At 42.7% G+C, this 16,235-nt stretch overlaps 1 protein-coding gene across 70 annotated transcripts in view; it reads left to right on the top strand.

Annotated features, from left to right (window-relative positions):
- Positions 1–5,688: 5,688 nt before the first annotated feature.
- PTPN20 (protein tyrosine phosphatase non-receptor type 20) overlaps positions 5,689–16,235 on the top strand; it is a 92,226-nt gene continuing 81,679 nt past the window's right edge. For 47 of the 70 annotated variants that reach the window (NR_148022.2, NR_148023.2, NM_001352542.2 and 44 more), the window contains exon 1: positions 5,689–5,762. Coding sequence is in view for 9 of the 70 variants with exons in the window: in NM_001042358.5 (NP_001035817.1) it covers positions 6,097–6,103 (7 nt within the window). In the remaining 61 variants the exon portion in view is untranslated. The other 23 variants (NR_148024.2, XM_011539605.3, NM_001320683.2 and 20 more) reach the window with 2 other exon arrangements.

Raw genomic sequence — 16,235 nt, forward strand, 5'->3', positions numbered from 1 at the left:
CAAGCATGCACATTAACGGGCAAAATGGCAGAGTATGACCTTCCAGAGGCATTCCACCAGGAAAGGGAAGAAAGCCTCAGGTGAACATGCGTACAGCTCCACTAAACACACTGCCCATGCTCACCTCCCAGGTGCTAGTAGGCCACTGTGCATGTGGGTAGCTCACCCTGAGAGAAAAATCAAGGGAAATGGGGTGCAAAATGCTGGAAGTCGGTCAGCATATGAAATCCTAGGTTCAAGGTCAAATGGGGCACTTGTCCTTCAAGTTGCCCACCTGGGCCTCTTCCAAGTGTACTTTCTTTCCTTTTGTTCCTGCTCTAAAGCCTTTTAATGAACTTTCACTCCTGCTCTAACACTTGTCTTGGCCTCTCCTTCTGCCTTATGCACCTCAGATTCTTTCTTCTGAGGAGGCAAGAGTTGAGATTGCTGCAGACCCATACAGGTTTGCCACCGATAACCTAGATAACTTCCACCACTAACACACCCATGAGGGTTTATAAAAAATTGAGGCCAGGAGTAGAAAATTCCTCTGAAAAGAGTTGTTGGAATGCTATGACATTTCCCCTTCCATACCTCTTTCCCCTCCTTGTGGAGGGGAGAGGAATGAGGTACCTCTCCTTTCCCTCCAGCCACATGAGAAAGACTGCTCAAATCATATACAGGGTTTGACATGTGTCTTCTGAAAGGGCTTGGTGTCTGGAACATCCCTGAGCAATCTCATGGTGAGAGGTGATGACGGCAACAACATGTCTGGCGGGAGAGCAAAGAGAAAGAGGATGGCGCTAGGAGTGAACCGCCAATCCCCGTGTCAGGGCAAGGGCGCGGATGCCCTTTTTATGTAGGCAAGTAAGCTGCAGGCAGGTCATAGCCTGTAAAACAAGCAGGGGTGATGTTGACCCCAGCAGAGAGAGAGCCAGAGCCTCAGCTCACACAGAGCATGCATTAGGGGGAATCACAAAAAGGCATCCACCTGTAGCTTATGAATTACACAAAGGTGGCCCTTCCTTTCCTGTGCAGCCCATTATTGGGGCACAAAACCATGCCTACAACTCAGCCTCCACTTACTCATTTGTCTGGTACCTTTATTCATGGCACAAATTACATAAACAGATTGGTAGCCCTGGATGGGCCGAGGAATGGTCTTGTAAGTAGCTGGGCAGAGGCAACATCACTGGGCATGGGTTTGTACTCAGAGATCTTCTGCAGGGGAATTCCTGAGAAAACACAAGATTGTCTCACAGAAGAAATGGCCAGCTCAAAATATCTGCTGAGCCCAGGGGGCCCATTGCTGAAGGACTCCAGCTGTAGAGGTGTCAGACACCCACTGAGTCTGGAGGGCCTGGGTGTGAAGCTGGGTGAGAAAGGAGAAATTGATGGTACCCATTTCTCAGGCTGAAGGTGAAGAGAGCCTAACAATTAGATAAGTCAGAGGGAATCTTAAACTGAAATGGGAATATTCTGGGTGTTCAAAGTTATAAACCAGCCCAAGATTTCATCTGCACGGGCCCAGGGGAAAAAAGCATCTGGGCATTGAGTTCAAATGGCATTGGAAAGAAATTTGCACTCTGTTAGGTCCAGCTAATGAGATGCAGTTCAATGAAGACATCTGTATTCTTGCTGTAAAGCACAGGGCTTGGCGCAGACCAAGGAATGACTCATAAGGATTAAAAGGCATGAAACCAGGTTCTTTCTTAGAATTTGGCAGTCTTTGCACTTCACTTTCTGCCACATCATTATTTTACAGTTAGTACGTAGAGCTGGAAGTGGAGGGCAGGACATTTATGTTCAAGGGTTTGTGGCAGGCTCTCCTGCCAGCTGAGCAGCTCTCTCCTGTCGAAGTCTATGGATTCTCTCTCCTTGTGGTGTGTGCACGCAGAGCCATGGGCTGGCTGAAGCTGCAAATGGATGAGCAGCCAACAAATTGATCAATCTATTAATATTTATTGGGCATCTGCCGTGTGTCAGGCTCAGGGACCAGGCAGCCGGGGATTCACAACAAGATAAATGTATGTCCTTGTGCTCTTTAAATAGTTTTCTACCTCCACTGGGATTTTTACTGGCATTGAAATCTCCACAGTTTATTTTTATAGAGTCTTTTATGTGAAGTGTCTCAAAGCAGGGCAGAGAGAAACACACAGAGAGGCCCCCACGGCTTCTTCCAAGCTCATGGTCCTCATCAACTCACACTTAACAGGGCTGGGTGTGAAGCATACCATTCCCAAATGAACCAGGCTGCAAAGCACAGGCCTGAAGCAGGCGGTCCTGTGAAGGGTAATGTCAATGAAGTGATTATTTTTTTCTGTCAGTATTGTTCTTAGTTATCTTCTGTTCCTGGGCTCCAAGCCTGAATTAGAAAACTCTGAACTCGAGCATAGGCCTTGGGATCTCTCCTGAGGTCCTGAGTTCCAGCTATCCACTGGGGTCCTCCTGACTGTATCTGGGGACCCATGGCTTGGAGGAGGGTATGTTTGGCAGTAAGTTCTTATACTTGTAAGGAGTAGATGAGCCCTACCTCAGCAGAGAGCAGACATTGGCACGGCCCTCAAGGTCCATCTCAGAGGGCGTCTGGGTATCCGGATCAAGGCCAAGGACTGCAAAGACAAAAATTCCAAACCCAGCATTACCTCCCTGTGCTGGCCAATTCTGCTCCTCCAGCTGAGCCTTCCCAGTGTGATGATTTGAATGTTTGTCCCCTCCCACACTCATGTATTAATATTCAAAGAAATTTGGTTGCTGCTGTGGCAGTGTTAGGAGGTGGGACCTTCGGGAGGTGAAAGGACCATGAGGACTCTGTCCTTCTGGGTGAGATTAATGCTATTAGAAGAGGGTGAGTTTGCCTTCCTTTTTCCTATTTGCTCTCTGCCTTCTGCCACATGAGGACACAATGTTCCTCTCCTCTGGAGGATGCAGCAAGAAGACTCACACCAGATGCTGGCACCTGATCTTGGACTTCCCATTCTCCAGAACTGTGAGAAAAAAATGTTTTGTTCTTTACAAATTATCCAGGCTCAGGAATTCTGTTATAGCAGCACAAAACAGACTAAGACACCCAGGGATTAGCATTGAGCCTCGGACCATGCAGGAAATAAGGAGGCGGTGTCTGGGGGCTGTGGTGCAGCAGGCAGGGGACAACCAAGCGACTTCCCAGCCCTGTTGGAAAGTGGATCTGGAGGGATGGACTAAAAGAGGCAGAACTGAGGCCTGGGCTGGAGGACCTGAGAGTGAAACTGGGCCTGCACTGGGGAGTGAGGAGGACCTGAAGCTGCAATGGGAAGCCCTGTGTGGCTGAATCCTAGAACCATGAGGAGAGGCAACATTAGCAACTAGATCTCTGGCCTCTGCTTTTGGAATCACTTTTGGATTCACTTTTGGATGAGTGGTGCATGAACTCATCCAGACTGATGTGTGAAGGGCATCCAGGCTTACCCCTGAAGTATGGAGACTGCAGTGGGTCTGTTGCTCACAGAGGAACTCCCAGAAACTCTGGGAGAGTCACAGACCTAGAGAAGCGTATGGCTCAAACCTCTTGAGCAAGAAAAGCAGTGTTCACTGCCAGGCGTGGTGATGAATGCTTCTGTTTTTTGTCTCATTAAACACTTGCAACTGTGTCTCCTTTTTTAAAAAAAGGAAAACTGAGACACAAGTTGGGAAGTAACCTGCCAAAGGTCACCAACTATTCAGTAGCAAAGCAGGGACTTAAGGCCAGGCTTGCAAAGCTCCTAGTGCTACTGGTAATTGGTAAGACTCAAGGGTTTAAAGAGGCCTCCAAAGAAGGGTAGTAAACTGTGATGGGCCCTAAACTTTATAGTTCTTCGAATTTTTCACAGGTAAAAGGACAGAAAGCCAAGAAGAGCCTTCTGGGTCACTGGCTTCTGGGAATATTGTGTGGTCAAGCAGGAAGTCTGGGGGAGATGGAATGACACCTCAGGGTCCACTCTTACCAACTGTTCATTTAGCCTCCATGCAAGGATTTCCTGGTGATGTGAATGGGGGTTATTCCCTCTGTGTGTCTTGGAGCAGCCATGCTGCTCATGTTTGTGAAATGATGACCAGTGCAGAATCTTGATGTTAGGCACTATGAAGAAACATTAGACATGGGGTCCATCTTTAAAGGGGAATCTTACCCTGGTGATATAGTTTGGATATTTGTCCCATCTAAATCTAATGTTGGGCTGGGTGCGTTGGCTCATGCCTGTAATCCCAGCACTTTGGGAGGCTGAGGCGGGCGGATCACCTGAGGTCAGGTGTTCAAGACCAGCCTGGCCAACACAGTGAAACCTCGTCTCTACTAAAAATACAAAAATTAGCCAGGCATGGTGGCATGCTCCTGTAGTCCCAGCTACTGGGGAGGCTGAGGCAGGAGAATCACTTGAACTGGGGAGGTGGAGATTACAGTGAGCTGAGATCACGCCACTGCACTCCAGCCTGGGCGACAGAGCGAGACTCCATCTCAAAATAAATAAATAAATAAATAAAATCTAGTGTTGAAATTTGATCCCCAATGTTGGAGGTGGGGCCTGGTGGGAAGTGTCTGGGTCATGTGGGTAGATCCTTTATGAATGACTTGGTGCTAGTCTCATGGAACTGAGTGAGTTCTTAGTCTTTGTTTTCATGAGAACTGGTCATGGAAAAGAGCCTGGCACCTCCCACCTCTCTCTCTTCCTCTGTCTTGCACACATTGGCTCTCCTTTGTCTTCTGCCATGAGTGGAAGCTTCCTGAGGCCCTCATCAAAAGCGGGTGGTGGTGCCATGTTTCTTTTACAGCCTGTGAAACTGTGAAACTAACAAACCTCTTTTCTTTATAAATTACCCAGCCTCAGGTATTGCTTTATAGCAACACAAACAAACTAAGACATATGGCAATGGCGTGGGTTGCTTGCAGGGTACCTTGGCTGCTACAGAAAGAAAAAGTCTCTGTAGAGACTCACTGTCAGTGACTCACGGAGCAGAAGGCTGGCCTCAGAGCCTGGACAGAGGGTAGCTGTCACTGCTTAACTGCAGTTCAGCTCAAGCATATGGCTCTCTGTGGGACCAGCACTGAAGGCTGGGGGATAAGTGAGGCAGGTCTTGTCACACCTTCAGGGTATCTGGATTCACCAAAGTGGCTCAGGTCAGGACCAATGAATAGAGGTTTGTTCGTCAAGATAAAAAGATTCTGGCTTCCTGTTTTCAGGCAATGCCAACGATTGAATTCCCTCTACATTGACCACCCTTGCTGAAGTTGTCTTAATTGACCTAGCAGCCAACTGACCTCATATTCTGGCACAGGCTCTGACTCCTTTTGCCTATCTGCCCTGCTCTGATACTACAAAGAGACCCCCCCACCCCAGCCCTCTGGGGCCTCATTAGGGGCTTAGAGGGCAGGCGTGGGTCAGGCGAGCATTCCTGGAGAACACAGTCCTCAGTGGTTCAGGATATGAGCATAGCTCAGAGAGCTGTTGACATTATCAGCCTGGCCTGGGAGAGGGGGACCCGCACAGGGTGGTGCACAGGGCCCGCAGGGAATTTACAGCGGCGTCCGCGGCGATGGGCTCTCAGTGCCTTGGAAGACCGGTAGAGGCAGGTTCTGTCTCTCCCGGCCTGGCAAGCAGAGGGCCGCGGCGCAGGGCAGAGTGCCGCGGCGCAGGGCAAAGCTCCAGTGCGCAGGCTCGCGGGCGCAGGTGGGATTGGATAGCGACGAAGGCCGGCAGGCTAGGCGTGGACCCAACTGGCGAGGCTGCTGGGGTTGCAGCGGGACAGTTGGGGCGGCCCCGCAGGCCCAGGTGAGGAAAGGTGGCTGGGGGCCAGGTGGGCAGGGGGCGTGCGGGAGGCCGCTGCGCCGGGCTGTGGGAGGGCGGGCGTGAAGAAGGAAGATGCCGTTGACGTGCAGGGGTCACAAGGCGTGGGTTGTGGCCCTGGCCCGGGAGACTGCCCGGGTGGGCCTGAGCTGTGAAGTAGTGTCGCTGCAGCCAGAGGGCAGGACGTGATTCTGGCCGTGTGATGCCAGCTGCACTGTGACGCGTGTTGGGGCGCCTATGCGAGACGGGACCGGGACAGGAACCCTGTGGCTCTGTGGTAGGGGAATGCCACCAACTCCCTGAGGAGCAGCCGTGTGGTATGATTGGTAAGAAGCCATCATCAGGCGCTGAGACAGCCCAGAACTTCCCAATGACTCAAGGGCGGGTGGAGGTCGAGGGACCTAGAAAGAAAGAACATGAATTCATCAATCCATTCAGCAGCTATTTTGAACGCCTCCTGTGTGCCAGATGCTGTTCTAGAAGCTCAGAATATCTATGAACGCGATAGGCAATGCCCCCATATGCCAAGGCCCTCATATGCTAGCCTTGACTCAAGGAAAACTGTAGGATGGGGTAGGTTTCATTTTTGGAAGTTGTGGAATCAGTACTTATGTTTTGAATGTGTTAGGTTTGAGATGCCCAGTAGGTTTTTCCCAATAGAAGACATAAGCATAGCTGGGAAGAATTTTGCAGAGGACTCTGACCACCTACCACCTACAGGTGCCATGAATATTTAGCACATTTGATTTTTCACATTACCTATTCACCTTCTCTCCATTTATCAGTCACCTGGTAGTTTTTTTTAGTATGGTGAAATATACACACATAAATTATCTAGTAGATATTTGGGTTGAGATATCAAATGTGCTTTTTAGAAATTTAAATCTGAAGTTCTGGAGGATGTCGGGCTAGAGTTAACCTTTGGAATCGGCATCATATACTGTACATAGTATTTAAAATATATGGGACTGGTGAAGACATCTAGTTTAATAGTGTACACAAAGAAGAGGAGGCGAAGCCAAAAAAGGGAGGGAGGTAGTGGTCAACCATGTTGAATGTTACCGTATAAGATGACTTTGGTAATTAGGAGGATTTTAATCATTTTGACAAGAACAACTTTAATGGGGAAGAGGGGCCTTAAGGTTGGGTAGAGTTTTTTTCAAGATAGAAGAAAGCAGAATGTTTATATGGCAATGTGATTAAACTCGTAGAAAGGAAAAACTGCTGCAGATGAAAGAGGGGAACATTGTAAAGGGTAGTTGTTGAATACCTGAGAAAGGAGAAGACCCTAAGCAGGTGAGTAGTTGGTTTTGAAATGAGCAGGGACACTTACTCTGTTGTAACTAGAGGGGAAGCTGAGATAACAGGTGCAGATACAGTGGGTGGTGGGAAAAGAGTCTATTGGTATAGGCATCCATCAGCTTAGAGGGAGGGCAGCGGGGGAGAGGAAAGGTGTGGGAACTTGGAGGAGAGATATGTGACAGAGTCCTAGAGAGGGTGAAAGTGAGCGTACTAGAGAAATAGAGTTGGATTCCCAGGCAGTGCTCAGGGCCCATTTGAGACGTGTAGTCTTACATTTAAAGTGATATAAACCAGTGTGGTTGTTTCATGTTCAACTTTGGAAGGGTGTTGTGAGGATTAAAGAAGGTAATGCATGAAAAACATTTAATAGAGTGTCAGGCGTTTAATGAATGTTAACGCTTTTTATTTGAGCCCTCGTTTTGTTTTTCTTTTCTGTTTATACATATGTGACTGAGGATGGCTGGCAATTACCACTTGACAGGCTGTTCTGGGGCATGTTCTCCCATCACAGAGAACTGCAGTTTGCAGCTACTCAGAAGTCTGGTTCCTGTTGTGTTTACATGTACACAGCTTGATAATTGAAGATGTTTGCTTTTTAGAGCCATTGTCCTGGACTGTTTGGGCTGGGGTTTGTCACAGTGACAGTCCTTAAGTTTTTGTGAAAATCTTTTATGACTGCATTTCATATTGGATCTGATGTACTGGTAATCTACAGAATCTACAAATCTAAGATTGGCAGGAAAATTTTCAGTTTAATAGATTTTCATTTCTCCCTGACCACTTGAGCTGTTTTAAAATACAAATAATAATAATGGCTGACAGAAAGCTCTTAAAAGTGCCAAGTACTTTTCTAAGCACATCACATGCCTAATCTTGTTTAATCATCACCTCAGCTCTACAAGGCAGGTACAATTATTATCCTGATTTTTCAGATGCAAAAATAGGCTCCAAGAGGTTAAGTAATTTGCCCAAGGTACCCATACCCTGACCTCCAGTTTCTACTGCAGACAATAACTTTTTCTTTTTTTTTAAACTGCTTGGCCATCACTCATCTGCATTGCAGTGGAGTACTTAAGATGTTGGACTCCAAAGCCAGATTGCCTGGTTTCAGAAAACTGCCACTTAGTAGCTATGGGACTTTGGGTAAATCATCTAACTTCTGTGTGCCTTTGTTTCTTTTTTGACAAAATGGAAATAATAATAGTACCTGCCTGATAGGGCTATTATCATCGCAGTTGAGAATCACATGAGTTAATATATTTAATATGCCTAATATAGTGCCTGGTTGTTTAAATGCTACTATTATCACCTGCCTGGTAGTACCACCATGGTGCTGTATATACTGATTGGTTTGATCTATCAAAATAAGATTCCAAGTGTCCTGTTATTGTCTAAGCAGAGTTTTAAAATTGCAGCCCACTATATTATTCCCACCTCAGGGATCACTCCTGTTTCCTCTGAGTTTATCTCTCTGAGGGAAACAAATAGATAACAGTTTGCTTCCAGGAGCAGACAACAACTCAGATTTCATTCAGACTCATTTGACCAATAGAGTTCATTTCATTAATCCTGGCATTACATACCACTTAGCAAAGGGGAATAAGGCTTGGGGAGTAATGTGATTCCATGTTGCTTTTCCCAGATCAGCAGCCCATTTAGAGGAATTTGGTTAGAAATACCAACGGACTACATAGCCAGTATTTGGCACAGCATAGGGTAGGTGATGTGGGTCAGTGGGCTGGACATAAAAGTGTTCTGAAAAGATCTGTAAAGTCATTGGAGTTACTGTGATGTGTTGTGTCAGTTACTGATTAAAAGTAACTGGCAGGCTTGGCATTTGAGACCACTGAAAGTTTTAAATGATCTTTCTGATATACAACACGTAGAGTAAATGTATGATACAAAGTAGTGGTTCTCAGTGAGTTTGCATCAGAATCACCAGTGGGGAGTTTTATGAAGATTTGCACAATGACAGGCTCCACTTCCACAGATTCTGAATCAGTAAGTCTCGGTAGGGTTCTGGAATCAATCAACTTTTTTAAGAGCTCCCCAAGTGACTGTGATGTGCAGTTAGCATGGCATATCGTTAGTACAAATCAGTGCTTTTAAGCCCTGACTGTGTTTTACAATTACCTTTCTATCAGCTTTTTTAAAAAATACTGATATTCTGGAGCCACCCCAGGGATTCTGATTTAATTTGGCCTGGTGAGTTCTGGACATACGTGTGTTTCTTTAAAAAAATTTCTGAGATGATTCTAATGTACAGCTAGGTTTGAGATTCACTGGCATAGTCAGCTAGATTTCCCGCCATAGTTTATTTACTCTTGAAAATTTAAACATAGCTTCAGGCAGCATCTTACCACCAGGAAAGTGGAAAAATGAGCATTTCTGAATTTCCTCAATGTAAATGTTCAATAAAATAATCAGCTAACAATGAAAAATGTGAATTGCTGGTAGAATTAGCATTTCTTACCCTAAGCTATGAAGATTTGATCAAGTTTCCCTTGGGGATGAGAATTTACATTTCCTGAGAGCCTTATATAGAATCTCAATATTTCAGCAACTCTGGGAGGTACATATATTTCCCATGTTGTAGATGAGAATTTTGAGGCTAAGGGAGGTTAAGTAGCTTGCACACTCAGTTGTGTACATTTCCAAGGTCTAGGTTCCATTTTTTCAGTGATTCTCAACTTTGAGTGCACACTGGGATCACCTGGGAACTTTAAAATTACCAGTGCTTGGCTGGGTGTGGTGGCTTACGCCTGTAATCCCAGCACTTTGGGAGGCTGAGGCGGGCGGATCACGAAGTCAAGAGATCAAGACCATCCTGGCCAGCATGGTGAAGCCCCATTTCTACTAAAAATACAAAAATTAGCTGGGCGTGGTGGCATGCACCTGTAGTTCCAGTTACTTGGGAGGCTGAGGCAGGAGAATCACTGGAATCTGGGAGGTGGGGGTTGTAGTGAGCCAAGATGGCACCACTGCACTCCAGCGTGGCAACAGAGCAAGACTCCGTCTAAAAAAAAAAAAAAAAATGACCAGTGCTGGTGTTCCATTCTCAGAGATTCAGATTTTGTTGGTCTGGTGTGGCCTGGAATTGGGATTTTGCAAAGCTCTCCAGCTAATTCTAATGTGCAGCTGAAATTGGGAATCATGCATTACAACATGCAGCTTCCTGGTGGTCTAAATTAATTTTCTCTTAACGCTCCTCTGTAGATGGCTGTGACTGGGTTCCTTGCCTTCATATATTCACTTATAGATGTCTTAGTGTCTTTTCTTTCCACCCCTTCCTCACTTTTAATAAATATGTAAAGATTGCCAGACACTGTTCTTGGTGCCAGAATGACACAGTGATGACAGGACAGACCAAGTTGCCAGCCTCATAGTACTTATATTGGGGAAGATAGACAATAAACATGTGAGAAGATATATATGGACTTACATGGGTAAGCAAACTTTAAGGTAATAAAAAGTGGTTTTGGGAAAAATAAAGCAAGATGATGAGTAGAGATCCCAGCAGCAATGCATGAGATTCCATTTGCTCCACATCCTCACCAGAATCACTTTGTATTGGACTGTGTGTGTGTGCTTGATTTTAGCATTTCTAGTAGGTATGTAGCAGTATTTCGTATGGTTTTCCTTTGCATTTTTATGTTGACCAGTTGTCTTAATCATGTTTTCATATATTTATTTGCCATCTATGTTTCTTCTTTGGTGAAGTATCTGTTCACATCTTTTGACTATTTAAAATTGGGTCGTCCTCTTTTTGAGTTATAAGGGTCTATATATTTAGGATATAGGTCCTTCCTCAGATGTGTGTTTTGCAAATATCTTCTCCCAGACTGGGACTTGACTTTGCATTTTCTTAATGCTGTCTTCTGAAGAGCAGAAGCTTTTGATTTTTTCAAAGTCAAGTTATCAATTATTTCTTTTGTGGTTTGTGCTTAGTGTCTTAAGAAATCTTTGTGTAATCCAGTGTCACAAAAGCTTTCCCCTAAGCTTTAAGCTAGAAGTTTTATAGGTTTAGAGTTTGCATTTAGGTCTGTCATCTATTTTGAGTGGATTTTTGTACATAATATGAGTATGGGGTGAAGTTCATAATTCTGTATGTGGATGTCTCATTTTCCCACACACTTGTTGAAAGCACTATCCTATCCCCATTATATTATCTTGGCACCTTTCCCCTCCTAAATCAATTGTTGCTATGTGTGAATTATTTCTAATCTCTCTGTTCTTTCCTGCTGAGGTATATGTCTATTCTTATACCAGCATCACATTGGATGTTCCATTCACAATTTCTGTTCGTTATAGGGAGGTCCTAGTCAGTGAAATAAAGGAAGGAAAAGATATAAATGTACACAGATAAAAAAGGAAGAAATAAAATTGTCTTTATTTGCAGACAACATGATTGTTTATGTAGGAGCCCGAGGAATCTACAAAAAAGCAACTAGAAATAACATGACTTTGGCAAAGACACAGGATGTGAGGCCAATATACAAAAATCAATTGTATTTAGCACTGGCAATGAACAATTGGAAATTAAAACTTAGAAATACAGTTTACAATGGTATCAAAAACATGAAAAACTGAGGGATAAATCTAATGATGTTCTGTAATATTTGAATACTAAAAACTCTAAAACATTGAAGAGAGAAAACCAAATAAATGGAGAAATAAATCTATTCTACTTGATAATATTTTGTTAAGGATTTTTTTGCATATACATTCATGAGGGATATTGGTGTATAAAGATATTGGTCTGTAATATTCTTGATTTTGGTATCAAGGTTAATGGTGGTCTCATAAATTAGTTTGGAGTGTTCTCTTTTCTATTTTCTGGAACATTTTGTATAGGATTGTTATTCGTCCTTAAAGGTTTGGTAGAGTTCAACAGGGAGGTATCTGGGCCTAGAGTTTCCTTGTGTTAGTTTTATACCATGGACTCAAGTTTTTAAAACTATATATGGCTATTCAGATTGTATATGCTACTCAGTTCTTTTTGAGTGAACTTTAGTACTTTGTGTCTTTCAAGGAATTAGTTTTTTTCATCTATGTTATCAACTTTGGCATACAGTTGTTTGTAATACTTTCTTATTATCCTTTTAATGGCACTAACATTAGGATCTGTAGTGAAGTCCTCTTTTTCATTTCATTTCCGATTTTGGTTATTTGTGTATCTCATCTTCTCTGCCTCCCTCTTTCTCTCCCTCCTTTATCTCTTCCTCTTCCTCTTTCCTTCCCACCCCTTCCTTTCTTTCAGTAGTCAATTCTAGAGCTGCACTGTTCAATAGTTATCCCTAGTCACATGTGTCTATTTAAATGTAAATTAATTTCAATAAAATTACATTAAAAATTGAGTTCCTCAGTCACACTGGCCACATTTTAAGTGATCAGTAGTCCCAAGTGGCTTCCACATTGGAGGGTGCTGCTATATAGAATGTTTTCATCATTATACAAAGTTCTACTGGACATTGAGGGTCTAGAGGTTAGCAATTTTTTTTAAAATCTTTTCATGGACCTGTTTTGGGTTTCATTGATTTTTCTCTGTTATTTTTTTATTTTCCATTTCATTGATTTTTTTTCCTCTTTATTATTTCCCTCTTTTTGCTTGCCTTGGATTTAATTTCTTTTTTAATTTCTTAAGGTAAGAACTTAGATTACTCATTTGAGGCCTCTATTATTTCCCAATATAAATATTTAATGCTATAAATTTCTCTATCAGCACTGTTTTAGCTGCATCCACTAATTTTGATGTTGTATTTTTACCTTCATTCAATTCAGAATATTGTGTAATTTCCTTTGTCACTTCTTTGAATTGGGAGTTATTTAGAAATATATTGTTTAATTTCCAAATATTTTAGAATTTTAAAGGTTTATTTCTGTTGATTTCTATTTTAATTCCATTTTTAAAAACATATTTTGTATTTCAGTTTAATGTTTTATGGTTTGTTTTTAGGCCCAGAATATGGACTATCCTTGTGAATGTTCCGTGTCCACTTTAATACTTATTTTGTTGTTGGCTGGGATGCCCTATAAAAGTTAGGCCAAATTGCTTCATAATGTTGTTCAGGTTTTCTGTGTCCTTATTATCTGCCTACTTGTCTCCAACATTGTTGTAGATTTTTCTGTTTTTTTCATTTCAGTTTTCATTTTATCACTTTGGAAGCTATGTTGTTGGATACACACACATTTAGAATTCCTATGTATTATGTAATGCCCCTTTTCATTTCTGGAAATGTTTATCATTTTTTAAAGTCTATGTTGTCGATGTTAATATGGCCATTCTACCTTCTTTTGATTAGTGTTTACATGGGTTATCTTTTTTCCATTTTTTTAGTTTATCAATGTCTTTATATGTACGGTGGGTTCCTTGTAGACAGTATATAATTGGATCTCACTTTTTTAATCCAGTCAGACAATCCCTGACTTTTAATTTGGATGGCCAGACCATTTACATTTAATATAATTATTGATATGATTAGATCTTAATCTATCATCTTGCCAGGTTTGCGCTTGCCTTACCTGTTCTTTAATCTAGTCCCTTCTTTTCCCATACCCTTTTGGCTTAAATGAGGCTTTCTTTAATGACTCAATTTTTTACTCCATTTTATCTCCACTCTGCCCTTATGTTGCTTCTGCTTTTTCTCCTCCATGCTTCTTCTCCTTCTTTTTATTCTTTTCTTAGTGGTTACTCTAGGCTGTATAAGTTTGTCACAGTCTACCTTCAAATAATATATCATTTCACATATAGTATAATATATATACCTTACAACAGTGTGCTTCCATTATTTCCCACCCATACTTTGTGTTATGATTGCCATACATTTTACATCTACATATCTTATAAAGTGCACCATATAATTGTCATTATTTGTGCTTCAGACAATTATCTTTTAAAATTCTTGTTCTGTTTGCTCTTAAAAATCTTATTTTACAGACTACTTTTAGAACAGTTTTAGATTTATTAAAAAATTGAGTAGATAGTACAGAAAGTTACCCTATACCCCCTCAGCCCCATGGTTTTCCCTGTTATTAATATGTTGTGTTTGTTTGGTACATTTGCTATAGTTAATAAGCCAATATCTATAGATTAGTATTAACTGAAGTCTGTAGTTTACATTAAGGTTCACTAGTTATATTGTACATTTCTATGGGTTTTGACAAATGTATAATGTCATGTATCCACAATTATAGTATCATATAAAATAGTTTCATTGCCCTAAAAGTCTTCTGTGCTTCTTCTGTTCATTATTCTAGCTCAACCCCTGAACCCCTGCTTACCACTGATCTTTTTGCTGTCTCAAAAGTTTTGCTTTTCCTAGTGTCATATAGTTGGAATTATATAGTATGCAGCCTTTCAAATTGGCTTCTTTTCTTTAGAAACATTGATTTAAGCTTTCTCCATATCTTATTATAGCTTGATAGCTTATTGTTTTATCTTTATATAGATAGATATTCCTTGAAAGGGCCATATATGCAAAATAACCTCCAAATACAGAAGGAGCCAAGAAATCAAAGAATGAGGCAGGCATATCTAGTTTATTGGCAGAGGGTGATTTTTAGGGGAAACTTATGGACAGAAATGTGTTCTTGGGCAGAAATGTGTTCGTGTAAGACAGGTAGATGTTCACACCATTACTCCCCAGACTCAGGGCTTATATACCATAGGGAAAGAGTATATATATATGCTCCATAGACAATTAAAGACAACCCTCCAGAGCAGAGGGTGCTGGGGGCAGGGTTCAGGGGATGAAGCTCCCCAGAGTTTCTATGTTTTGTGTTAGGCTACCAGGGCAGGTAGGGAAATGCCGTCAGGTGGCAGCAGGGTTAGGCAGGTCTGGTTAGGCAGCAGGGTTAGGCAAGCTCCTTGGGCGGGGCTTGCTGAGGCCACTGTGGGGGCTGGGGGTTGGTTCTCCGGCCAATGGGGTTATGTTCCATAGGGGATCTTGGCCGCCTCTACTGTATTATATAGTTTGCCAGGGAAGTCAGGGATAGCCAGTAGCAAGAGGCCTGACTCAACTCCCATGCAGTTGGCAAGCCCGCATATCCTGCAATGCCCCGCCCAGACCTTGCCCCTGCTCTGTTGGTGGCAGTTCTTGTACTCCTGTACTTGCTTGTATCTGCAGCAGCTCCTGCTCCTTCCTTGGACTCCACTCCAGAAAATGTGTGCCCAGTCGAAACCACTACCAATTTCATCTGGGAGCTTTCTTCACCCCACAACACTTCCGCAGTTCTGCTGGTTGTCTTCCACAAGGGCCCCAGTGAGATATAGTCAGGGATGGCGTCCCTGTGCTCGAGCTGGAGACTGGGAGTGCATACAAGGCACTTCCTGCTGCTACTTCTACTTTCATATTTTGTGTGACTCTCTAAATCCCTTCCATCTCTAGGTAAGGTTAAATTCTTCTCCTGTGATCTGGATTTTCAGATTCCCAGCAGGGATGTGTGTTTGGAGGTCGGTTTTCTCCCTCTTACACTTTGGGAACTCACAGTTTTTCTCCTGTTTCACGGAATTTGCAGTGGCATGCCTATTTTGCCAATTTTTAAATGAGGTTGTTTGTTTTCTCATTGTTGAGCTTTAAGAGTTCTTTGTTTATTTTTTATTAGAAATTTTCTGTCAGATATGTGCTTTCTCAAACATTTTCTCCTGGTCTGTAGCTTGTCTTTGTAGTCTCTTAACAGTGTATTTTGCAGAAAAGAAGTTTTTAATTTTAATAAAGTCCAGCTTATCAACTTTGTTTCCTGGATTATCCTTTTGGTGTTGTATTTAAAATCTCATTGCCAAAACCAAGGTCACATAGATTTTCTCTTTTATTATTGTTGTGTGGTTGAATTTTATACCCCAAGAGAATATTTTGAAGTCCTAACCCCAGATACCTGTGAGTCCAACCTTACTTAGAAATAGGATCTTTGCAAATGTTAAACAAGTTAAGCTGAGGTCCTAATGCAATGACTGGTGTCCCTATAAAACAAGGGAAATTTGGACACAGAGGGAGAAATTCATGTAACAGCAGAGGCTGAAATTGGAGTGGGATGTCTATAACCAGGGAACATCAAGGATTACTGAAACCACCAAAAGTTAGGAAGAGACAATTAAACATCCTTCCCTGGGGCCTAACAGAGGGCATGGCCTTGCTGCCACCCTCAGACTTCTGCCCC

This window comes from Homo sapiens, chromosome 10 (assembly GCF_000001405.40).
Source record: "Homo sapiens chromosome 10, GRCh38.p14 Primary Assembly".
Classification (NCBI taxonomy): domain Eukaryota; kingdom Metazoa; phylum Chordata; class Mammalia; order Primates; family Hominidae; genus Homo; species Homo sapiens.